This window comes from Homo sapiens, chromosome 8 (assembly GCF_000001405.40).
Source record: "Homo sapiens chromosome 8, GRCh38.p14 Primary Assembly".
Taxonomy (NCBI): domain Eukaryota; kingdom Metazoa; phylum Chordata; class Mammalia; order Primates; family Hominidae; genus Homo; species Homo sapiens.
In genome coordinates, this window is record NC_000008.11 from 42,701,800 (window position 1) to 42,727,596 (window position 25,797).

At 45.9% G+C, this 25,797-nt stretch overlaps 1 protein-coding gene, 1 long non-coding RNA gene and 1 pseudogene across 4 annotated transcripts in view, besides 1 other annotated feature; 1 reads left to right on the top strand and 2 right to left on the bottom strand.

Moving 5' to 3' along the window:
- CHRNB3 (cholinergic receptor nicotinic beta 3 subunit) overlaps positions 1-25,797 on the top strand; it is a 40,042-nt gene that overhangs the window by 4,434 nt on the left and 9,811 nt on the right. Inside the window, exons 2-4 of one of the 3 annotated variants that reach the window (NM_001347717.2) lie at positions 2,550-2,682; positions 6,918-7,069; positions 8,591-8,635. In NM_001347717.2, coding sequence (NP_001334646.1) covers positions 8,609-8,635 — 27 coding nt within the window. In that variant the 5' untranslated portion in view covers positions 2,550-2,682; positions 6,918-7,069; positions 8,591-8,608. Of the gene's footprint in view, positions 1-2,549; positions 2,683-6,917; positions 7,070-8,590; positions 8,636-15,615; positions 15,816-25,797 lie in introns of those variants that run through there. The other 2 variants (NM_000749.5, XM_011544390.3) reach the window with 2 other exon arrangements.
- Positions 2,178-11,040, bottom strand: LOC105379396 (uncharacterized). Its single transcript, XR_007060900.1, has 2 exons — positions 10,859-11,040; positions 2,178-4,194 (listed from the first exon to the last, which is right to left on the bottom strand). It is a non-coding gene; the product is annotated as an uncharacterized LOC105379396 (long non-coding RNA).
- Positions 18,499-18,998: an enhancer, noted in NCBI's record as "H3K4me1 hESC enhancer chr8:42575441-42575940 (GRCh37/hg19 assembly coordinates)". NCBI's record gives its function as "activates a minimal SCP1, AML or CMV promoter by ChIP-STARR-seq in naive H9 embryonic stem cells {active_cell/tissue: H9 hESC(naive)}" and the evidence as "EXISTENCE:reporter gene assay evidence [ECO:0000049][PMID:30033119]".
- Positions 23,536-24,450, bottom strand: RPL7L1P17 (RPL7L1 pseudogene 17; annotated as a pseudogene).

Below are 25,797 nucleotides of genomic sequence, written 5' to 3' on the forward strand. Positions count from 1 at the left end.
AACTCTGACAGTCTTTTGTATCTTGAAAACAGCAAATATCTGGGGTTAATAGGCCACAGTTTGTGGATGTTTCATAGACACAAAGACCCTAAAAGCCTGGAAGGTGTGAGCTGCTGGAGGCCTCAGCCATCACCCATTTCCTTTTCTTATTGGGAGATGTTAACTGCTTGGAATCAAGACCAGAACCCATGGTCTCTAAATCAGAGTCCAATGCCTCTCATTATTAAATAAATATTTGTTGGATTCTCCTCCTAATGAGTGATGACTTCGGAAAGGGAATCAGCCTTCTGAGCCAGCAGCAGCACACTCTCCCAGAGCCTGTCCCAGCCTGAGCTCAGTGCACAGGAGATGACCAGCATCAGGCCAAGTGCACGCCATCCCTGTCTCTGCCTCCGAACTGAAGCCTTCACATTCGCTCTCTGCCTCTCCATCTTCCTTCCTCTGCCCATGGAGTTGTCTGTCTGGCCCTAAAGGAAATATATATATATTTATTTAAAATAGAAATAAACATTTATTTATTTATCAGAGCTTCTCTGCACCACCCAGGCTGGTCTCAAACTCCTGGCCTCAAGCAATCCTCCTGCCTCAGGCTCCCAAGTAACTGGGATTTACAGGTGTGAACCACCACACCCAGCCCCACAGGAAATATTTTGACAAAGAAAAATGAGACAAAGATTAAGCAAGGAGGCCAGGCACGATGGCTCACGCCTGTAAACCCAGCACTTTGGGAGGCCAAGGTGGGATCACCAGGTCCAGAGATCGAGACCATCCTGGCCAACATATTGAAACCCTGTCTCTACTAAAAATACAAAAATTAGCTGGGCATGGTGGCACGTGCCTGTAATCCCAGCTACTTGGGAGGCTGAGGAAGGAGAATTGCTTGAACCCGGGAAGCAGAGGTTGCAGTGAACCAAGATTGCGCCACTGCACTCCAGCCTGGCAACAGAGTGAGACTCTGTCTCAAAAAAAATAAAAAGAATATAATTCTTCCAGGTAGTAGATTGCTCTAAATAACAGTAAAGCATTCTGGAAAATACAATGCTAACAGCAAAACATCAAAAATAGCAATAACAGCAAATATATGTATATCGAATTGAATTTTTGCAATAAGGGAAGATGGCTGGCCTGGCCGCCAGAAGACCACGCAGGCCACCATCAGCTGGATGGCCCTGGGCAAGGCTCCTCTCGATGCCCCAGTATCTTCACCTGTAAAACAAGGGGCTGGGATGGTCCTGGAGGTACTTCTTGGCTTTATTGTCTTAGCTTCATTATCAGTTCACTTTTCCTTCCTCTTTCATTGAGGCTGAAATTGGGTCCAAGCTTCTGTAAGAGATTCATCCATGTCCGGGAGTGGTGGCTCATGCCTGTAATCCCAGCACTTTGGGAGGCCAAGGCGGGCAGATCACTTGAGGTCGGGAGTTCAAGACCAGCCTGACCAATGTAGCGAAACCCTGTCTCTACTAAAAATACAAAAATTAGCTGGGCATGTTGGTGCACGCCTGTAATCCCAGCTACTCAGGAAGCTGAGGCATGAGAATTGCTTGAACCCAGGAGGCAGAGGTTGCCGTGAGCCAAGATCATGCCACTGCCCTTCAGCCGGGGTGACAGAGCAAGACTTCGTCTAAAAAAAAAAAAAATATTTATATATATATATATATATATGTATCCACAATGGGGGACACTCATCTTCTGAGAAAAAATTCTTGGTTTTTCAATGGATTACTGAGATGGATCTTAGAATATAGTGATTAATTTAAAATATAAGTTATTTTGCAAATTTTGGTCTATGCACAACTTTCCAGGAATCCTTTTATTCCATAATACAAAGACCACTTGTCCTGGAAACCTTGAGCGCATCTGTGATTTTACATCTTCGGGAGCAGTGAGCCATGCTGGCTCTACCTCATTCCCCTGGGTCACAGAAAGCCCCGTTATGGCCTTTTGTTCATGTGTTCATTTGTTCATTCATCAAACATCATCAAATATTTATGGAGGCCCTGGTCTCAAAGGATCAACTGTGAGAAGCACTTGGCCTTTCTCATAATGTTCTATTTCACAAGAAGGACAAACCAGAAACATTTCCAGGCTTGTCCTCTAAGTCTGCTCCAATAATGCCAATGACTTCAGCTTCTATTTTGGAAAGGTTCTGGAAATTTGAAGATATTAGGCAGAAATCATTTAATCTTTGGCTTTTTTTATTAGGGGGATAAAGTCTGTTTTGGTCAGAACAGATTTGCATTAGTCAGGCTGCCATCACAAAATACCATAGACTGATTAAAAACAGACATTTATTTTCTCACAGTTCTGGAGGCTGGAAGTCTGTGATCACGTGCTAGAAAGTCAGTTTCTGGTGAGGGCTCTGTTCCTGGCTTACAAACAGCTGCCTTCTTGCTGTGTCCTCACATGGTGTGTCCTCTGCGCCTCCTCCTTATAGGCTCTGTTTTTAAATATAGTCACGTTGGGGGTTAGGGCTTAAACATTTGATTTTTGAGGGATATAAACATTCAGTCCCTAACAGCCAGTATGGTTCATGCTTTTTGTTAATTCAGACGGAAAGTGCACCTTCTGACAGTGGTAACACAGGTGGAGATGTATGCTGTGCGTGAAAGAGCAGAGCTGCTTGCTGCCCCTGGATCTTGGTGAGGAGCAGGATTCCTGTACCTTCACAGGGAGCACAGCTGCGTAAGTGCAAACGCTAAGCATGTCAGGTCAGAATTCTAGATTTCCCCTCCCAACGTGCAACTCCACCTCCTTTCAGAATGACTGGACAGTTTTTCTTTTGGGAAAGGAAGTTCATGGTTACAGTCCCTGCTCATCTTCAAGAACCCTCTCTCTTATGTGTCCAAAATTCTCCCGGCTCACAGTTGTCTGAGCTAATAGGTGTGTGTGTGTGTGTGTGTGCTTGCATGTGTTGGTTCAGGCATCATTCAGTTGTTCTCGGCCTCCCTGGAGTGCCTCCATCCATTGTGAGATGGTGTCTTCAGTAATTTGTGCTAATTTGGCTGACCTGGGACTCAGGGACTCTGTAAGAACTTCAGCATCTCAGCAGCTAGTCAGGTGGTGCAAGCAGCCATCAGGGCTGTGTTCAGATGCCTGTCAGTGGCTACAGTGGCTTAACCAAATAGGAGATTGCTTTTCTCACATACCAAGAAATTTGGAGACCAATAGTACAGGGCTATCAGAAACCCAGGTTCTGTGTGTCTTTCCATTCTGCCCTCCTATGTGTGTAGCTTTCATCAGGTTTTCAAGACAGATAAGTGGCCAAATCTCCAGTTTCAGACAAAAAGAAGGAGGCAGACATGTCAGATCAAGTCCATCCTTTTTAACAACCTTTCCTCTAACCACCCCAATCCCAACAGCTTCTGTTTGTATCTAACTGGCTACATGTGCCATAGGCCATTCCCAGATGCAAGGGAGCCCAGAGCTGAGCTTTTTAAGCTGGCACCATGCAACCCTGAATAAATTTAGCATCTGTTGCCAAGGAAAAGGGGGAATGCCTGTTGGGCAGGGAACTGGCAGTGTCTGCCACAGTGCTGCTGTGGTTTGAATGGGTTCCCCAAAGTTCAAGTGCTGGAAATTTGACCCCCAACGCAGTAGTGTTGGGAGGTGGGGCCTAATGGTAGGTGTTTGGGTCATGGGGGCACCACCCTCATGAATGGATTTATGCCATTATCATGGGAGGGGTTGGCACCCTCTTGTCTCTCTCACCCCCTCTTTGCCCTTCCATCATGTTTGATGCAGCAAGAAGGCCCTGACCAGATGTCAGTGATCTCACCAGATGCTCATGATCTTGGACTTCCCAGTCTCTAGAACCATAAGCCAATAAATTTCTGTTCATTATAAATTCCTCAGGTTGTGGTATCCTGTTGTAGCAGCACAAAATAAGTGAAGACAAGTGCCTTTCAAACAATATTCTCTGCCTTAGAGGAGGGGGCTGCCTGACCTGGGGATAGATGGAGGAGGACAGCTGTGTCCTCACTGCTTCCCTCTTCTCTTGAGCAATTCACCTCTGGTCCCAACTCTCCAGATGCCCCTCAGTAAAACAAAGTCCACGAAGCTGACTGCATTGTTGCTCGAGTGGTTGTCCACTCAATAGCCATTAGCTCAACAGCTGCTGGGTGACAGTCACTGTTCTAGGAGCCGGGAATACAGGAGTGAGGAAGACAATCCCCAACTTCCTGGAGCTGGCATCATCTAGGGAGGGGAGACAACAATAAACAGATAAATGTGATATGATTAGGTTCTCTACTGGAAGATGAAGTACCCTAAGAGGATAGAGAGGAGAGGGACTTTAAATAGTGTAACCTGAAATGACTTACTCAAGGAAATGACATTTGAGCAAAGACTGGACAAGTGAAGGGATGGCTGTGGGCTCTCCGGGTAAGGGTAAGAACTTTCCCCAAGCAGATGCATTCTGGCTTGTTCTGGGAATCGCAGACTGGCCCGAGGGCTGGGGAGGAGAATGTGGGCAGTATGGTGGGGGTGGTGCACAGTTAGGGCCATATGGGGTCAGGGAGACTGTGGAGGGACTTAGGATGATTCTTTCTGAGTGTGATGGGAAACCATCTGGAGCGCTTAGCAGGGAACTGACATAATCCTCTAGCTGCTGTGTGGGGAATGGACTGCAGAAAGGTCAAGAGTGAAAACAATTAGGAAGCAGTGCAGGAGCCCAAGAGAGAGAGCATCTGTGCCCTCAGCGTGGCCCCGGTGGAGACAGTGGGGAACAATCAGGGCTGGGATGTATTCTCAAGGACATTAAGACCCGACGTAGGGTGGGAGAAAAAGAGAGGAGTCAAGGATGACTTCAAGAATGTCCCTCTGAGCAAATGCCCCCTAGAGCCTGTGGGGTTCCAGGAAGGTTTCCTGGCTCTTTACAGACTGACACCCTGGTGGCTGCCCAGCTGGCTGCTCCCAGTGCTGCTCTTGGTACTAATAGTAATCAACAGATCAGTTTTTGTTTATTAAAAAAAATTTTTTTTGAGACAGGGTCTTGCTCTGTCACCTAGGCTGGAGTGCAGTGGTGCTACCACCACTCACTGCAGCCTTGACTTCCGGGACTCAAGCCATCCTCCTGCCCCAGCCTCCCAAGTAGCTGGGACTATAGGGGTGTGCCACCATGCCCGGCTAATTTTTTTATTTTTGTAATACAGGGTCTTCCTATGTTGCCTAGGCTGGTCTCCAACTCCTGGGCTCAAAAGATCCTCCCACCTTAGCCTCCCAAAGTGCTAGGATTACAGGTGTGAGCCACCATGCCTGGCCCACAGTTTTTAAGTAAATAAGCACAAATGTAAGGTTGCGTCTCTCCCTATCACTCATTTGCATTTTATGTGGAGGAAAATGGGGCTGGGAACCGTCAGAGGACACAGCCCACTTCACCCATGCCTCTGAGGTGCTGGGACAGAGGCACCTGGAATTGCTCCTCTCTTAGGAAAGTGCCTACAGAAGCCTCCTGCACACAGGGGGATGGTGCACTGTTGTGCTTTTCTTCCTAAAAGAATCCCTGGATTTTGAGTGGGCAAACCTGGAGGGTATGTCTCTCATGAGATCATTACCCAGCATGTGGATATCTCAGTGGGAAGAAAAAGGTTTTCTATGGTCAGGACATGGTGCAGAATGAGTTGCTGTAGGATATTAATCGGGTGCTGAACAGACAAGGAGGGGCAGGTTAAAACTCCCATGCTGATCAGTAATGGGACTGCACCTGTGAATGGCCACTGCACTCTAGCCTGGGCAACATAGTGAGACCCTGTCTTCTTTTTTTAAAAGTAGGGGCTTCCTTGTTTTAAATGTGATAGCACGGCATTGTAAGGAAATAGAACTCTACTTTGGGACTGGATTCCTAAGCCATTTCCCCAACTGGAGGGTTAAAGCTTAACACTGGGTGTTTCTGAGGTTCTCACATAGTGAGGCACTGGGCAGAGTGTGACATCCTGGCTGCTGACCAAGGAAGGACTTTGTAAGGAAAGACTCTTCCTTGGGAAAAGACAAGAGGACCGTGAGGGGCACACGGCTGGTGTTCAGTGACCATGTGCCGACTCTGACATCTACTAACACACATAAAATGAACACCCACTATGGGCCAGGCACTGTTCTAGGTGCTGGGTAAACATGATCAAATATAACGCCCATTGCTCCCATCGTCAGGGAGCTCCAGAGGAAGACAGGTGTGACAAATGACAAGAGACTTCCAAAGGGAGATGCTGGAGGCTCAGGGACGGAGAACAGCTTGGGGACAGGGCCCATCTCTGTGAAGAGGGAGCGTTGCAGATGGGACCAGAGGTAGGGGTCGGGGTGGCTGCAGATGGAGCTTTTGGGACCTGGGTGTTGACCCCATGATGGGAAAATCTCATGAGAGAGTGCAGCTCTGGGTAAAATGTGGATTCTGGGCCGGGCGTGGTGGCTCACGCCTGTAATCCCAGCACTTTGGGAGGCTGAGGCGGACAGACCACGAGGTCAGGAGATCGAGACCATCCTGGCTAACATGAGGAAACCCCTTCTCTACTAAAAATACAAAAAATTAGCCGGGTGTGGTGGCAGGCACCTGTAGTCCCAGGTACTCGAGAGGCTGAGGCAGGAGAATGGCATGAACCCTGGAGGCGGAGCTTGCAGTGAGCCGAGATCGCGCCAATGCACTCCAGCCTGAGCAACAGAGTGAGACTCTGTCTCAAAAAAAATACACACACACACACACACACACAAACAAAATGTGGATTCTGTTTTCAGCTGTGTGTGTTTGGAGGGAGGTGGGAGTGGACGTGGAGACTCTTGCATGCTCCAAGTTGCCTTTCAGGAACTGGGCTGTTTAGAAACAGACACAGCCTATGGTGCAGGAGGCCAAGGCCACAGGAGCCATGGGACACTCATCCAGGCATCGTGCCCCTCCCATTAACCCAGGTCCACCCATGATTCTTTTACAGCCACCACAGGTTTCAACTCAATCGCCGAAAATGAAGATGCCCTCCTCAGACATTTGTTCCAAGGTTATCAGAAATGGGTCCGCCCTGTATTACATTCTAATGACACCATAAAAGTATATTTTGGATTGAAAATATCCCAGCTTGTAGATGTGGTGAGTAATCCTTGGCACTTGGCTAAAAAGAACATGCATTCCTTAACCTGTTTATGAGTCTAAAATATATATTTTTCCCTATGTCTGCCATTTCAATTTTAAAAATAATTTACTGTGAGAGAAAATCTGCCCCCAAGAAGCCACTAAAATGACCCAAGGAAAGAACGAGAAGTTGTCACAGGGTAAATTTTCATTGCAGCACTGTTAGTGTGGGACGATTCGCTGCGGGGAGGATGTGGTTGCTAAGATAGTCATTGCTCCTGGCCCCGGTTTGCTGAACACCCAGGGAGGAGGGCTGGGAACTGCAGAGAAGAGGGGCTGAGCCTGGGGCTGACGTGCTGTGATCTTCGATCCTCCCTGGCTGTGCCCTGGGCTGGTAGGGGGCTCTGCAGGGAGACAGGGTGGTAACAACAGTGCCCAGAGCAAGGCCCATTCCTGCTGTCCCTAGGCAGCCCCGTCACCTCTTCTGAACTCACCCATGCCTTCACATTCTAATTTTCCTTTTGAGCTTGCCTTTCTGTCATGATTGTGTTCTTAGAAGAAACCAGTGAACTTTAACTCCCTAAATGCAACAAAATTGTCCTTCTATGATCCCCAAAGCCCCAGAAGAATCCTCCTATGTTGTCCATATTCTCCACCCTACTACACACATGTGCGCACACTCACCTGCCTGGCTGGCTCAATACCCCAGGATTCCTTCTAGGAAGTCATGCAAAGCCCGTCTCCAGTTTAGCTATTATTTCCCTCTACTTTGTACCTTCATTATTATTATTGTTGTTGTTGAGACAGAGACTCTGTTTCACACAGGCTGGAATGCAGAAGGGTGATCTTGGCTCACTTGCAACCTCCGTTTCCCAGGTTCAAGTGAATCTCCTGCCTCAGCTTCCTGAGTAGCTGGGATTACAGGCATGTGCCATGATGCCCAGCTAATTTTTGTATTTTTAGTAGAGACGGGGTTTCGCCATGTTGGACAGGCTGGTCTCGAACTCCTGACCTCAGGTGATCCACCCGCCTCGGCCTCCCAAAGTACTGGGATTATAGGTGTGAGCCACTGCACCCAGCCTACTTTGTACCTTTAAAGTGCCTTCTGGGTCATCCAATTTTATGTAAATATAGCCACAATGAACTGCTACTTGTTTCAGTTGTTTTTCATTTTAAGCAAAATCCGCATGCCATTTGACTATTTATATGCCATTTGACTGTTTACATGCCATTTGACTATTGTAAATTGAGAATCTTTTGCACTTTTAACACCTCAAAGGTAAGATTCAGATAGATTTTTCTGATCGAAACCAAACAAAAAACAACTGGGTGTGGTGGCGTGCACTTATAGTCAGCTCCTTGGGGGCTGGGGTGTGAGAATGGCTTGAGCCCCGGAGGTTGAGGGTGCAGTGAGCTATGGTGGCACCACTGCACTCCAGCCTGGGCAACATCTTGAGATCCCATTTCTAAAACAACAACAAAAATCACAACTTATTTTCACTTCAACTTACAGTATTTTTTAAATTTTCATTTTCTTAGGATGAAAAGAATCAGCTGATGACAACCAATGTGTGGCTCAAACAGGTAAATTTCAATCCAAGGATTGTGTCTGCTAACCCAGTCACTTATTTTCTATTTATAAAGGCTCCTATCTGAAAAACAATTATTTAAGAGGGCATATTGTGTTCCTCAGGGAGATTTGTGGGAAGGGTCTATGGCTTTTATTTTCTGTTGTGAGTGTTGGGGAGCTGATCCTGGCAAGCCCCTGGGTACACACTGTTGTGCGTGGTTGCTCTCAGCAGTAGAGCTGCTCGTGGAGCAGGCAGAGGTGACTCTACTGCCATAAGGCCTGGGGATGGGCCCTGGGACCACTTAGAGGAAACAACAAAGAGCCTCCAAGATGCACCACTTTCTCCCAGGTAGGGAACTGCAGCTAGGTAGGAAAATCAGGGCTACATCCTCCCTAGCCTTCTCTGGTCCTCTGTGGGTAGAATCTACCTCTAATACCTCTTGTTGCTTCCAAGGAAGAACTGAGCCCTGAATGGAGGAATAACGGGGCTGCCCATTATTAATTTCAGAACAGAGTGAAGCCCAAAACAAAATGATGAATACGTGTTTTCCTGACATCACTGAAAATGCATTTTGAATCGTTTTCAGCTTTCTTCTTAGATAATTGCTTTTAGCTTGGCTAGAGCTTATTTCCTAAAGTCAGGGGAGTGTGCCCAAAGGAGTTTGTTCTAGGATTGTCAGTAAATAATTACCATTCAAATCCCAGTTTCGCATATGTTATCTACAAAGAGAAAATATTGACATTTGATAGCAGGTAAGAAGTTTGGTTTATCCCAGCTATTCGGGAGGCTGAGGCAGGAGAATTGCTTGAACCCAGGTGGCAGAGGCTGCAGTGAGCCAAGATCATGCCACTGCATTCCAGCCTGGGTGACAGAGCAAGAGCCTGTGTCAAAATAAATAAATAAATAAACTTGGTTTAATTGCTTGTGTTTTTATTTTACCAGTGGTTTTTTTTTTAATTTAGTTTTCTCATATTCATTTACATATTTATCTGAGACACAGTCTCATTCTGCCGCCCAGGCTGGAGTGCAGTGGCATGATCTCTGCTCACTGCAACCTCTGCCTCCCAGGTTCAAGTGATTCTTGTGCCTCAGCCTCCTAAGTAGCTGGGATTACAGGTGCCCGCCACCACGCCCAGCTGATTTTTGTACTTTTAGTAGAAACAGGGTTTCACCATGTTGGCCAGGCTGGCCTCAAACTCCTGGCCTCAAGTGATCCGCCCACCCCAGCCTCCCAAAGTGCTGGGATTACAGACTTGAGCCACTGTATGTATTTATTTATTTTTTAGATTCAGGAGTTACATGTGCAGGTTTGTTTCATGGATATATTGTGTGATGCTGGGGTTTGGGCTTCTAGTGAACCCATCACCCAAATAGTGAACATCATACCCAATAGGTAGTTTTTCAACTTATTCCCCTCCCTTCCTCCTTCCCTCCCTTCCCCTTCATCTCTTTTGGAGTCCCCAGTGTGTTTTGTTCCCATCTTTGTGTCCATGGGTACCAGTTGTTTAGCTCCCACTTCTAAGCGAGAACATGTAATATTTGATTTTCTAAAGTTTTTTGTTTGTTTGTTTTTCTTTTTCTTTTTTTTTGAGACCGAATCTCACTCTGTCACCCAGGCTGGAGTGCAATGGCGCAATCTCGGCTCACTGCAACCTCCGCCTCCCGGGTTCAAGCTATCCTCTTGCCTCAGCCTCCCGAGTAGCAGGGACTACAGGCACATGCCACCACGCCCGGCTAATTTTTGTATTTTTAGTAGAGATGGGGTTTCACCATGTTGGCCAAATTGGTCTTGAACTCCTGGCCTCAGGTGATCTGCTCACCTCGGCCTCCAAAAGTGCTGGGATTACAGGTGTGAGCCACCGCACCCACCCTAAGTATTTTGTCCAGATATTGCCTAATTTGCCCCATTGTTTTAAAATATTCCTGGTGGGATATCTTTCTGCTAATGCTTTATAAGGAGCAATGGATACAAGAAACAGCAAGGAGCTTCCCCCAGCTTCATTTCATGTCATCAAATGTCTCCCACCCAACAACTTTAGTGAGATTTAGAGAACTATCATGATTTTCAGTGCTTTCTACTTATCTGATTCTCTAATCAGTAGAAACGGTCTGAATATTGTTTTACTTGCAAATAAAAATACCCAAAAGAAAATAATAAGCTTGGAATGTATATATAAAAATACCATTTAAATAAACATATCTTGCTATACACCCATCTCATTCCCCAGTGACTTACCCACTTTTGCAATTCAGAGGCCTGAGAATTGGGAAGTATTTTGAGTTGATAAAGGCCAAGAAGAAATCCTATATTCAAGTTTGCAGGGGAGAAAAGAACCCACACTTTCCTCTTAAGGTGAAAACAGGCTTAGAAGTTAACAAAAAATCAAACAAACACACAAACCTTTACTTCCTGCACACCTCCTTCCCCCACTGCTCTCTTTTTTTTTTTTTTTTTTTTGAGTCTGTGTCTCACTCTGTCGCCCAGGCTAGAGTACAGTGGCTCAATCTCAGCTCGCTGCAGCCTCTGCCTCCTGGGTTCAAGAGATTCTTCTGCCTCAGCCTCCTGAGTAGCTGGGACTACAGGCACGTGCCACCATACCTGGCTAATTTTTGTATTTTTAGTAGAGACGGGGTTTCAGCATGTTGGCCAGGCTGGTCTCGAACTCCTGATGTCAGCCCAAAGTGCTGGGATTACAGGCATGAGCCACTTTGCCTGGCCGAGATTAAGCTCTAATCTCTCACATAAAGCAGGGGTCCAGGGACTCTGGGCCTTCACATGGGTATAGTAGGTCTTTTCACTTTTCTTGTGCTTTTGAAAATTAGGAGTCGTTTTGGCCAAAGAGAACAGCATTAGACACAAAAGAGTGGGCGCCGAGGACCCTGAGGGCCTCAGCTACAGCTTTGGAAAGGACTTCCCACAAAGTGTGCCACCAGAATCCCAGAAGACTGGTGGGTGTCTTCAAGCCAAGGTGGAATTAAATCCTAAAAGTCAATTCAATACCCAAAACCAAGCAGGAGAAATCCACAGGCATGGAGCACACTGACACTTGGAAAAGTCAGCCCACTGACTGAAGTTCCCATTTAATAGAAGCAATGAGAATAATCGACTTTTTTGGGTATAAATATGTAAGGTACAAGTGCAGTTTTGTTACACAGATACATTTGTAGTGGTGAAGTCTAGGCTTCTAGTGTATCTAAATACTGATGTACATTGTAACCATTAGGTAATTTCTCATCCCTCATCCACCTCCCACCCTCCCACTCTTCCGAGTCTCCAATATCTATTGAGATTAATATACTTTAATTGTGTTTAATTCACAAATGCATAAATGAGGTTTATCTCATTTAAACCTCTCTACCACCTGACTTAGGAAAAGAGACATCATTACCCCTGTTTTATAGAGATAGAAGAGTCCAGTCCTCATCCAGCAGGAATCTGGGTTTCCTAACCCCTGGCCAGGATCTTTCTGGCCATATGCAGCCTCCTTCCTGAACACTAAGCCCTGCTTCTAGATCACAGGAGGAGCCAAAGCAGGAGAAACGAAGCTTCACATTCCAGAAAACTACAGAGGATATAGTCATTGCGACGTCCATTTGCACAGATTGAGTTTGGAGTGGGAAATGTTACAGTGGATATTAGTTAATACGCGCTGTTATGGCACAGACAATGTTGGGGCAGAAAAGAAAGGTCATTTTTATAACAGTGGGTGGCAAGAAGGGAAGGCTGCCTGTAACAGGAGGCATTGAGCTCTGCCATGATGTTATTTTTATGCTTTTTAAAAAGAGCTTTTTGGCCGGGCGTGGTGGCTCACGCCTGTAATCCCAGCACTTTGGGAGGCTGAGGCAGGTGGATCACAAGGTCAGGAGATTGAGACCATCCTGGCTAACACGGTGAAACCCCATCTCTACTAAAAATAAAAAATAAAAAAAATTAGCCAGGCGTGGTGGTGGGCACCTGCAGTCCCAGCTACTCGGGAGGCTGAGGCAGGAGAATCGGTTGTACCTGGGAGCCGAGATCGTGTTACTGCACTCCAGCCTGGACGACAGAGCAAGACTCTGTCTCAAAACAAAACAAAACAAAACAAAACAAAACTTTTTAAAGCTATATGGATTAAAGAAAGCTGAATGATTAAAAAAAAAACCATGAAAAGAAAACCAAGATAAAACAGATATTTATAAAAAGCTATCATTGGTTTTACACAGATCTTAGTTCCAGAGCAGCTAATAATAATATTTAAGATTTACTGAGTACTTATTAAGTGCCCAGGCACTATGCTAACTGTGTAACGGGAATAATCCCATTGAATTTTCACAACCATCCTATAAGGGAGGTTCTATTATAATCCTAACTTTGCAGATGAGGAAACAGAACTGGAGAGTGGAAGTGACTTGCCCAGGGTTAAGCACTGTTAGGGAAGTCGACTTATGTAGAGAAATCTTTCACTTGCCTTAGACTGGAGGGAGAGTTTGGAGAGTGTCCTGTTCTCCTGTTAGTCCTGTTGCTGTATAATTTCCTAACCCTGGTCTTCTAAGGCTTTGATTCCTCAGTCTCCGGAACATCTGATGGAGTTGGTCTAGAAAGAATTCAGGAGAGAATGAAGTTAGGATCCACTCCATCTTCCATCCCTTCACCAGGATTTATTGACATCCTATGTGCCAGGCGCCCTGCTAGATCCTGGATGTATAAAGAGCAACACACACCACCGCCTGAAAGAAGAGGACATAGCGTTAGTTACTAAAAAATAATTACCATGATAAATAGCACAAAGAAAGTACATATAAACCACTGTGGAGCTTAAAAAATGACAATGAGACAGGAAGAAAGTCAGGGAAAGCTCCCAGGAGGAGGGGATATTTAATTTGAGTCTTACAGGACTAACAGAAGTTCTACAAGCCAAAAAGGTGGGGAAGTTGTGAACCACCTGAATAGTGAATAGTAGTCCAATAACACCACTATCCAAAAGCTCTCACATTTGAGCAAACCCATTGGTAACTCTTTGCAATCATCTCTGTGTCCCTCAGTCAAAATGAAAACAAAAATGCCCAATTCCCCCTCTTTCCTCATTTGCCTCCCAGACACTGAAAAATGTTCTCTAATTCATATCCACATGGAGAAGAAAATTCTACATACTTGGAACAAAAGCATGTTCCATGGTAGCGCATGCAAATGAGATACTTGTGGGGTTTTTTAAGTCAATTCTCCTGTCTTATCCTGTTTCCATAGCTCTCCTCTGGTATATTTAGACACTCTTCTTCTATCCTCTCAACCAAAGAAAGAACTTTATAAAGCACAAATCTAGTGACATCCAGAGGAAGTCTTCTACATGGTGCTATTTTTATTTTATTGATTTTATTTTGCAAACTAGTTTGTCTTCCTCCTTTGTACTTCCAGACAGTAATCAAAACCCTATAAACTATAAATATATTGTTAACATTGACTCACTGGAACTATGTGAGAAAGTACTTACTGCTCCAGTCCCTCAGATCCTGCTCCATCATATCAAGGTTAGGAAAACGTGGAAAGCACCTTAGAGACAATGAAAATTAAACTGACCTTTTTTTTTTTTTTTTTTTTGAGATGGAGTCTTGCTCTGTCACCCAGGCTGGAGCGCAGTGGCATGATCTCGGCTCAGTGCAACCTCCGCTTCCTGGGTTCAAGTAATTCTGCTTCAGCCTCCCGAGTAGCTGGGATTAAAGGCGCCGGCCACCATGCCCAGCTAATTTTTGTATTTTTCGTAGAGACGAGGGTTTCATCATGTTGGCCAGGCTGGCCTCGAACTCCTGACTTCAGATTATCCACCCGCCTTGGCCTCCCAGAGTGCTGGGATTACAGGCGTGAGCCACTGTGCTGGGCGAAACTGACCTTTTTTGAAATGACACAAGGGTTGGCCGTTTTGCCTAGATGTTACAATAGAAATAATCACTATGACAACAAATGCCAAATTTACTCAATCCGTATTTCCTGAGAGCCTGCTCTGCACTGTGTAAGTGATGCAGGGCAGATGAACCCCAAAACTGGGGCTTAGTCTGGCTTCACCGAGGAAAGAACTCAAGGACAGCGGCAGCAGAGATACTGCTCCCTACAGACCATGGCTACCCACCAGCAGTGCGCCCAGGCTAGGGCTGCAGGCATATTTATACCCACCTTTAATTATATGCAAATTAAGAGGCAGTTTATGCAGAAATGTCTAGGTGGGTGGTAACTTCCAGGTCATTGCCATGGAAAGGGGTGGTAACTTCCGGGTATTGCCATGGCGATGGTAAACTGACATGGTGCCGTGGTGGCCCTGTCTTATGGAAAGCCGCCTCTGCCCGACCCTGTTTAGCTAGTTCTCAATCTGGTCCGGTACCCGAGTCCCCGCCTCCAGAGTCAGTTTCACCTTCTGCCTCATAAGGCCCTGAGCTGGGCGCTGTTGCATATAAAAATAAGGCAATGAGAGGACTAAATGACCCGGCTTCACTGTAGCTGAGACAGTTTGTTCTCCTCTCCCCATGACAATCCTGAGGAAAATAAAACTGCTGGAATATCTGCCCAGGCCAACATCTTAAAGTAGCAGTGTCTTTCCAACAGCTGATGTCTGTTTTAGATCAACAAAAAGTTCAGCAAACATGAAGGTCTTATTGGATAGACCCCTGGAGCTGATTTCCCAGGAAAAATAAGAAGCAGACTGGCCGGGCGCGGTGGCTCACGCCTGTAATCCCAGCACTTTGGGAGGCCGAGGCGGGCGGATCACGAGGTCAGGAGATCGAGACCATCCCGGCTAAAACGGTGAAACCCCGTCTCTACTAAAAATACAAAAAAATTAGCCGGGCGTAGTGGCGGGCGCCTGTAGTCCCAGCTACTTGGGAGGCTGAGGCAGGAGAATGGCGTGAACCCGGGAGGCGGAGCTTGCAGTGAGCCGAGATCCCGCCACTGCACTCCAGCCTGGGTGACAGAGCGAGACTCCGTCTCAAAAAAAAAAAAAAAAAAAAAAAAAAAAAAAAGCCGACCTGTTGTGGAAAGGTCAGGCTAGTACTAGAGGTCTGGGTGATCTCCCCAAAAGTCTACCATCCGCAACCTGGAATGGCACTTACAAGTTCATGAATTCATCTCAGATCTTTACTCATGATCTGATTTTCCTTCCTTTTCTACAACCTTACTCTGACCTTAGCAAAGGAGGCCAAGTTTGGACTTCTTACTCAAGTGGACCCTGGTAAGAATTGCGTAGGGGTCAAAAGGCCTACTGTATAAACTTGGGCAAGTCACTTCACCTCTCTGACCCTCAGTCTCTTCATCTATTAAATAGAGCTGATGCCTAGCTCACAGTGTTGTCTGGGGGGTTACATGAGATAATGTATGTGAATGTGACTAGCTCAATAAATGTCACTTTCTGTTGCCACCTTTGAGCTTTCTCATCCTTTTTTTTTTTTTTTTTTTTTTTTGAGGCAGAGTCTCACTCTGTCGCCCAGGCTGGAGTATGGAGTACAGTGGCACAATCTCGGCTCACCACAACCTCCGCCTCCCGGATTCAAGTGATTCTCCCACCTCATCCTCCTGAGTAGCTGTGATTACAGGCATGTGCCACCATGCCTGGCTAATTTTTGTATTTTTAGTAAAGACAGTTTCGCCATGTTGGCTAGGCTGGTCTGGAACTCCTGACCTCATGTGATCGCCTACCTGGGCCTCCAAAAGTGCTAGGATTATAGGGGTGAGCCACCACGCCTGGCCTTCATCCTTAATAACAAATGACATTTCTTGGCCTTAACAACTCATGAATTTAACAGGAATATGAAACATATAATATGTCATGTTGGTGCCTTTAAGATTAATATGAATCAACAAGAATTTGGCTTTAAGAATTTCACATCTAAGATGACTAGAGATCCCAGGGATGTCCCAGAGACTGCAAATCAAGACAACAGCAAAGGATATTTGTTCCTTATTATCTTTTGGTCCTATTAGCATTGAAGTAAGAATAATTTGGGGACTTGGCCGAGCATGGTGGCTCACACCTGTAATCCCAGCACTTTGGGAGGCTGAGGCAGGCAGATCACGAGGTCAGGAGATTGAGACCATCCTAGCTAACACAGTGAAACCCCATTTCTACTAAAAATACAAAAAATTAGCCGGGCATGGTGGCAGGTGCCTGTAGTCCCAGCTACTCGGGAGGCTGAGGCAGGAGAATGGCGTGAACCTGGGAGGCAGAGCTTGCAGTGAGCCGAGATGGCGCCACTGCGCTCCAGCCTGGGTGACAGAGCAAGACTCTGTCTCAAAAAAAAAAAAAAAAAAAAAAAAAAAAGAATAATTCGGGGACTTTTTTTATAGTTTTTTTAAAAAGCCTTACAATTTAGGTTTAAATAAAATTTGGCTCTGGGTTGTGGTTTAGCTAGACATTTATGAGTGATCGTTCAGGTAATACATCTAAGAAAAGACAATTTTAAGGGATTATATATATTTGATATGGATTTGAAATTGCAATTTTCTGAATGAGGAAGCCTAGAGTTGGAGTGTTTTTCCATTTTTTTCTTAGTCATAGATTAACTTTGATATTTGGCTCTGACATATCCTGTGCGATCCTGTTTCCTGCAAAAACACAGCTCTCAAGTCGGGAACTGCTGTGATGTGGAGCTGGTGTTTGACGACGGCTTTGAGCATCTCAGCTAGAACACACTATGCAAACATGGAATATTATTTCTCATCTCTTACCCTAAGAAGGGAGAGACAGGAGCTTAATCCCCAGATGCCACCAGGGTTTCAGAGAGAACAAAGAAGTGACCAGAAAACCTCGCAGCCCCTTAGAGAACGAGATAGAGGTTTGGGCTCTGGCTGCTCAGCTGGGCACTGCTGACTCTGCCACTTGCAAATGTCCTGTGGCTTGTGCCATTCTAAACCCACAGAGGTCCTGGTCTACAGGGCACAGCCAGCTCTGTGGTGAACACACATCCTGGCAGGAATTGGGTGGGCTGGGCATGGTGGCTCCTGCCTGTAATCCCAACACTTTGGGAGGCCAAAGCAGGAGGATCATTTGAGGCTAGGAGTTTGAAACCAGCCCGATCAACATAGGGAGTCCCCTGTCTGTACAAAAAATAAGAAAAATTAGCCAGGCATGGTGGTGCATACCTGTAGTCATAGCTACTAGGGAGGCTGAGGTTGGAAGATGGTTTGAGCCCAGGAGGTTGAAACTGCAATGAGCTATGATCACACCACGGCACTCCAGCCTGGGCGACAGAGTGAGACCCTGTCTAAAAACAACAGAAAAGAAACTGGATGAGCCCTCTGATGGGAATCTCAGGGAGAACGCTCTGTGATTCCCTGTCTGATAGCAGAAGGACACTAAGGTTGTGAAGAATGCTCTCTCACCCTTGCAAAGCAATGCAGCAGCTGGAGATCAGTGACTCGTCCAAGTTGTACAGCTAGTAAAGCACAGTCCTAGTGTGGAGCTCAGGGCTTGTGAGTGGAGTCCAGTGTGCTTTCTCTTTTGAGGCCACCAGTGTTAGCAGTATTGACCACAAGTCCCACCTAGCCTCTTTTTCTTTACTGGTTAGGAGCAACTGAGTCTGCTCTAGATCCCTTTAAAATCCTCCTCAAGGATCTGAAGGCAGCCCGCATTCATGATCTCCTTCCTTCCTGCCCCAGCACCTTTCCACAGGCAGTTCCATCTTTGGCCAGCCTTCCTTCCCCACGCAACCCTGCCCCACTCAGAAGCCTTCTTTTTTTTTTTTTTTTTTTTTTTTTTTTTTTTTTGAGATGGAGTCTTGCTCTGTCACCAGGCTGGAGTGCAGCGGCACGATCTCGGCTCCGCCTCCCAGGTTCAAGAGATTCTCCTGCCTCAGCCTCCTGAGTAGCTGGGACTACAGGCGTGTGCCACCATGCCCAGCTAATTTTTGTATTTTTAGTAGAGACGGGGTTTCACCATGTTGGCCAGGATGGTCTCGATCTCTTGACCTCGTGATCTGCCCGCCTTGGCCTCCCAAAGTGCTGGAATTACAGGCATGAGCCACCGCGCCCAGCCCTCAGACTGCTTCTTACCCTGCATGTTTAGTCTAAATGTCGTCTCCATGGAAATGCCTTCCCTGTCTACTCCACTGTTCTGTATCCCATACCCAAACTGTCTCCTTTACAGCAACTGTCAGGAGGTGTGGGTATTTGTTAGTTTACTGGTTTATCATCTGAGTCAGCCCCAGGATAAGAGGTTGAGGCAGCTGTGCTCAGTGCTAGTACATGCCTTGCATATTTGATGAATGAATGAACTCTTTGAAAACAGTGAGCCCCATAAACCACTATCTCTGTTTTATCTCTGGTCACAGCTGTTAATCCTGCTGTTGAAGGTCAGGTAAGCAACACAAATCTTTCTGACTTAAAAATACCTCCCCCTGAGGCTTGCCCTAGTTCTCTTAGAACAATTTATAAAGCTGGTATTTGTTTGCTGCAGTTTTGCAATTTGCAACAAGACAGAAGTGCTAGAATTTTAGTCATCCCCCATCCTCCTTTGCAGGATAGAACTGGGTGTAGGTAAAGACCTTCGGTGCCTGTAGAAGGAAGGAAACTGGATCCAAGAAGCAGGTGATTTCATTTCCATCAATCTTTAGGTTCCAGATGGAGGAGCTGTGCATTTGGGCTCATTAGCTGTGCTCACTAAAGATGGACCTGGAGCATGACAGCACAGCCCTAGCTGGTCTGCCCAAGTCTGTGCCTGTCCCCAGTGCTCTTAGCTATGTGCTTGCAGCGTGCTGCAGCTGCATAGCCACCCAGGTTCTTCCCAGGATCAGCTGAGAACATTTTAGTTGCAAGTGACAGAAAACCTCACATAAACTAACACTAGCAAAAAGAGAACTTATTAGCTTTCACAATCGGAAAAGTCCAGGGACAGGGCTGGCTTTACCTGCAGCTTCATGCTGGGCCCCTGCTATATTCCCAGGACCTGGTTCCTCTCTGGGAGTCTCTGGGCTTCCTGTCCTCTGTGTTGATTCCATTCTCATCCATACCCTCCCCCGGAAGCAGGATGTCTACATCAACTCCAGACTCAAAATGCTTCCTATAAGCCAGGCGCAGTGGCTCACACCTGTAATCTCAGCACTTTGGGAGACTGAGGCAGGTGGATCACTTGACCTCAGGAGCTGCAGACCAGCCTGGGCAATGTGGCAAAACTCTGTCTCTACAAAAAATACAATAATTAGCTGGGCATGGTGGTGCACTCCTGTAGTCCCAGATACTTGGGAGGCTGAGGTGGGAGGATCACTTGAGCCTGGGAGGCAGAGATGCAGTGAGCCGAGATCACACTACTGCACCCCAGCCTGGACAAAAGAGCGAGACTCTGTCTCAAACAAAACAAAACAAAACAAAACAAAACAAAACAAAACATTTCCTGTGTGCAAGTTCATCAGGGTAAGAGTGTCCCACCTCTTTTCCAGTGGTCTCAGAAGCCCTGTGGTGTCTTGCCAACTCTGATTTGGTTGCCTGTTGTCCCTGAAAATCACAGTGGGCAGGTCTGAGAGGCAGGCCTGGAGCAGAAGGATGCATCAGCTCCCCCAAAAGCTGATGGACTGAGAGTGGAGTGAGGTTGTTCCACAAAAGGAAACTGGGGTTCTGTTACCAAGAGAAAGGCAGGTGAATTCAAGGCAACAGACATAGCACGTGTCCTTTTTATCTCCTAATCTGATTTCCTCCTCTTTACATAAAGATCTCTTGGTGGCCAGGCGTGGTGGCTCACGCCTGTAATCCTAGCACTTTGGGAAGCCGAGGCGGGTGGATCACTTGAGGTCAGGAATTCGAGACCAGCCTGACCGACATGGCAAAACCCCATCTGTACTAAAAATACAAAAATTAGCCAGGCTTGGTGGCACATCCCATCTACCGGAGAGGCTGGGGCAGGAGAATGGCTTGAACCCAGGAAGCGGAGGTTGCAGTGAGCAGAGATCGCGCCACTGCACTCCAGCCTGGGCGACAGAGTGAGACTCCATTAAAAAGAAAAAAAAGAAAAGAAAAAAAAAAGATCTCTTGGTGTGCCCCTCCTTCCCGTGGCCTTGCCGAAGCAGAGGATGACCAAAGGCCTGTGTCCCTGTGGCGCATTCCTCATCTCATAATTCTCCCATTGTTCATCACGGCACTTGGACACAGTACAGTATGATTTTTTGTATAATTCCCCCGACTTTTATTCATGTATTTACTTATTTATTTTGAAACAGGGCCTTGCTCTGTCTCCAAGGCTGGAATGCAGTGGTGCAATCACAGGTGCCTGCAGCCTTGAACACCCAGGCTCAAGTGATCCTCCCACTTCAGCCTCCAAAGTAGTTGGGACCACAGACACACAACTACACCCAGCTAATTTTTGTTGTTGTTTAATTTTTGAAGAGATGGGGTTTCCCTGTGTTGCCCAGGCTGGTCTCAAACTCTTGGGCTGAAGCGACCCACCTGCCTCAGCCTTCCAGAGTGCAGGGGGTTACAGATGTGAGCCACCTTGCCCAGCTCCCTCTTGGGGGAGGGATGGCTTTAACAGATATTTTACTGTTACTTATATATTTTACTATTTAGATATTTACTCATTTATTTTACTGTTTAGATATTTACTAACATATTGTAAGTAATAGGATATCCTATTACTTAGATATTTACTAAAATATCGTAATAAGATATCCTATTACTTAGATATTTACTAAAATATCGTAATAGGATATCCTATTACTTAGATATTTACTAAAATATCGAATAGGATATCCTATTACTTAGATATTTACTAAAATATCGTAAGTAATAGGATACCTATTACCTAGATATTTACTAAAATATAGCAATAAGATATCGTATTACTTAGATATTTTACTATTGCTTATATTTTATTATTACTTTTAACAGATATTTCACTGTATTTTACTGTTTGCCTTTTAACAGGTGTTTTGCTATTAAGGCCAAACAGTTTTTCTGTTCTATCATTGTTTTTTTTGTTTTCTCTCTTTGATGGAGAGGAGATGAAATGAGCTGCTGTTTAGCCTGAGTACACCATTGTGCTTTATATCTATCAGCACCAGAAATACCCCTGAGAGCTGAACCGTAGAAAGCTTTCTAGAAACAAATGAACTTATGAAGCATTTTAAGCTACAGGTTTTCCCACTGCAGTGCATCATGGGGAGAGGTAAAAGCGTGGAGGATCTGGCTTCAGGCAGACCTTAGCTTAAAGCCCATTAAGGCCACCAGGCTGCACATCTCCTGGGGGCCCCCTTCACAGCAGACTCAGTGTGCAGGGCACCTCTGGAGTAGTGGCTGCATGGATGACCCAGCCATGTGCAGCAGCCTTGAATCCCGTTTCCCTCACTGACTAGCTGTGTGGCCTTGGACAGGTATTTGAACTCTCTAAGCGCTGGTTGCCTCATCTAATACAGCATTAATAAATATTTATTATATTTTAGTCCGGTTGTGGTGGCTCACGCCTGTAATCCCAACACTTTGGGAGGCTAAGGCAGGTGGATTACCTGAAGTCAGGAGTTCAAGACCAGCCTGGCCAAAACGGTGAAACCCCGTCTCTATTAAAAATACAAAAATTAGCTGGGCGTGATGGTGGATGCCTGTAATACCAGCTACTAAGGAGGCTGAGGCAGGAGAATCGCTTGAACCCTGGAGGCAGAGGTTGCAGTGAGCCAAGATTGCGCCACTGTACTCCAGCCTGGGCAACAAGAGCGAAACTCCATCTCAAAAAAAAAGAAAAAGAAAAGAAACCTAGGCTGGGCGCAGTGGCTCATGCCTGTAATCCCAGCACATTGGGAGGCTGAGGCGGGCAGATCACCTGGTCAGGAGTTCGAGACCAGCCTGACCAACATGACAAAACCCCAAACAAACCTCAGGAAACTAGTAATAGAAGGAATCCTCCTTAATCTAATAAAGGATATTTACAAAAACCCCCAACACCTAACATAAACACTTAATGGTGAACAACTAAATGCTTTCCCCCAAAGTTCAAGAACAAGGCAAGGATATCCTACTTAACATAATACTACTCAGTAATTTTTTTTTTGGAACATAGACTCACAGCAGAGACAAGTGAACATTTATTTTTGTGCCTTTCTTCCTATGTGTATTTCAAGTCTTTTTCAAACAAAGGCCCCAGGAATCTCCAGATTCAATTATGTCCCTGGGGTTGGTCGACTGCTACAGGAGTCTTAGGGAGCCTTGGACAAATGCTAGAGTTACTCATTTACCACCATTAAACTCTAGGATAGAAGATGCAGCAAAGCAGGACTCCTTCCTCCATGGAATGTGCTGATTTCAGACGAGGCGGCAGCCAATGTAGAAAACGCTGGAATTGGCCGGGCGCGGTGGCTCACGCCTGTAATCCCAGTACTTTGGGAGGCCGAGGCGGGCGGATCACCTGAGGTCAGGAGGTCGAGACCATCCTGGCCAACACGGTGAAACCCCATCTCTACTAAAAATACAAAAAAAATTAGCTGGGCATGGTGGCAGGCGCCTGTAGTCCCAGCTACTTGGGAGACTGAGGTGGGAGAACTGGCTTGAACCCGGGAGGCGGAGGTTGCAGTGAGCCAAGACTGTGCCACTGCACTTCCAGCCTGGGCAACAGAGTGAGACTCCGTCTCAAAAAACAAAAAAAGAAAACACTGGAATTTTTTCCTTGGAACTGGACTGTGATGAGAGGTGCTTGCCATGAACATAAGCTACTGTCTTTTCTTTTTTCTTTCTTTCTTTTTTTTTTTTTTTTTGAGACAGAGTTTTGCTCTTATTGCCCAGGCTGGAGTGCAATGGCGCAATCTTGGCTCACCGCAACCTCCACCTCCAGGGTTCTAGCAATTCTCCTGCCTCAGCCTCCCTAGTAGCTGGGATTACAAGCATGTGCCACCATGCCCGGCTAATTTTTGTATTTTTAGTAGAGATGGGGTTTCTCCATGTTGGTCAGGCTGGTCTCAAACTCCTGACCTCAGGTGATCTGCCCACCTCGGCCTCCCAAAGTGCTGGGATTACAGGCGTGAGCCACCGCACCCGGCCAGCTACTGTCTTTTCTTTGACCCTTCCTTTCCATTTTTTGAAGATAAAGCAGGAAATAATCTTCTCTGAAGATACTTGATAAAAATTCCCCAAAATACAAAAACACATGCTTCCACTTCATTGATAAAAATTTACTGCAGTTTGGCACCTGGGTCTAGTTCAGCTGGCAGATGAGCTGATTGATGCATTCACCCTGATAGCCAGGTATGCCCATCTCCTTGAGGAAGCCCACTCTATTTTTGGTAGCATGACGGGCCACTGAGAGGTGGAAAGGGCACAAGAACCACGAGATCTCCTGGAAATGCTTCTCCAGGTGCTCCTCAATCACTGTGTTGTCTGTCAGAGGGATGGTCTTATTCGTGACCTTGACTTGTCCACGTTTCAAAATGAGTTCCCAGACAGACTTCAGATTTGGAAATCCCTAGGTCACATAAGTTTCCACTATACGCAGCATTTTTAGGTTCTGGGGGGTGACTTTTACAAAGACACCACTAAAAATTTTCTTTGGGCAAAGTCTCGCAATGGTTCTCTGCACCAGTAAACTCACGCCATCAATCCTTTCGATGCGTACAACAAAGGCCAAGGAATGTTTATCTGGCAATTCCAAGGTGTGGTTTCACTTCTAGTCGTCTGAGACGTACCTTGTCACGTTTCTGTCACCAGGAATCTTGTAGGAATGATTCCAGTTGTTTAAACCTGAGCCCTTTTCTTTTTCTCTGCTCCTTCTTTGCCAAAAGTGCCTGCTTTGCCTGGGTGGCTTTGAGGGCTTGATAAGCTGTCCTCATTTTCAGGAGATTTTCTGGAACCAAAGGGATTTATCTTTGCTCTTGCTCTGCCATCTTTCTAGTGTTGCAGCTACTACTACTCAGTAATTAAGGCAAGGAAAAGCAGTCAAAGTTATTCAGATTGGAAAGGAAGAAATAAAACGCTCCACTTGCAAATGACATAATTGTCTATGTAGAAAATCTACAGAAAAGATCCCAAAATTAAGTGAGGTAAGCCAGGTCACAGGACATACGGTCAAAATGCAAAAGTAGATTGTATATTTAGATACTAACAATGAACGACTGGAATTTTAAAAATTAAATGACTTTTTTTTTTTTTTTTTGAGATACAGTCTAGCTCTGTCATCCAGAGCCAAGCTCTGTCATCCAGGCTGGAGTGCAGTGGCGCGATCTCAGCTCACTGCAACCTCCGCCCCCAAGTTCAAGCGGTTCTCCTACCTCAGCCTCCTGAGTAGCTGGGATTACAGGCACCCACCATCATGCCCGGCTAATTTTTGTAGAGACAGGGTTTCACCATGTTGGCCAGGCTGATCATGAACTCCTGACTTCAGGTGATCCACCCGCCTTGGCCTGCCAAAGTGCTGGGATTACAGGCGTGAGCCACTGCCCCTGGCCTATTTAGGTATAAATCTAACTAAATATGTGCAATGCCTGTAAGCCTAAAACTGCAAAACACTAACAAAACAACAACAACAAAAAATCAAGACCTAAGTAAATGGAGACATAAATAATATTCCTGGGCCAGGAGAATCTATATTATGATGCCAGTTCTCACCAAACTAATCTGTATATTCAAATCAATCACAATTAAAATCTTGGCAGGATATCTTATAGATAGCCACAAGCAGATTCAAAAATTTGCCTAAAGCTATAATAACCAAGACAGTGTGATATTGTCAAAAAGACAGATGCACAGGGCCGGGCGCCGTGGCTCACACCTGTAGTCCCAGCATTTTGGGAGGCCAAGGTGGCTGGATCACTTGAGGTCAGGAGTTCGAGACCAGCCTGGCCAACATAGTGAAACCCTGTCTCTACTAAAAACACAAAAATTAGCCGGGCGTGGTGGCACATGCCTATAATCCCAGCTACTTGGGAGGCTGAAGCATGAGAATTACTTGAACCTGGGAGGTGGAAGTTGCAGTGAGACGAGATCCCACCACTGCACTCCAGCCTGGGCGATAGAGTGAGACTCTGTCTCGAAAAAAAAAAAAAAAAAGAAAGAAAAAAGAAAGACAGATACACAGATCAGTGAAACAGAACAGTCCAGAATGGACCCATGCACATACACAGTTAACTACATTTTGACAAATGTACAAAGGAAGTTCCGTGGATAATGTTTAGTCTTCTCCACAAAAGGTGCTGACAATTGGACACTCACATGCAAAAGAAAATGAACTTCAACCCATTCCTGCACCTTTATAA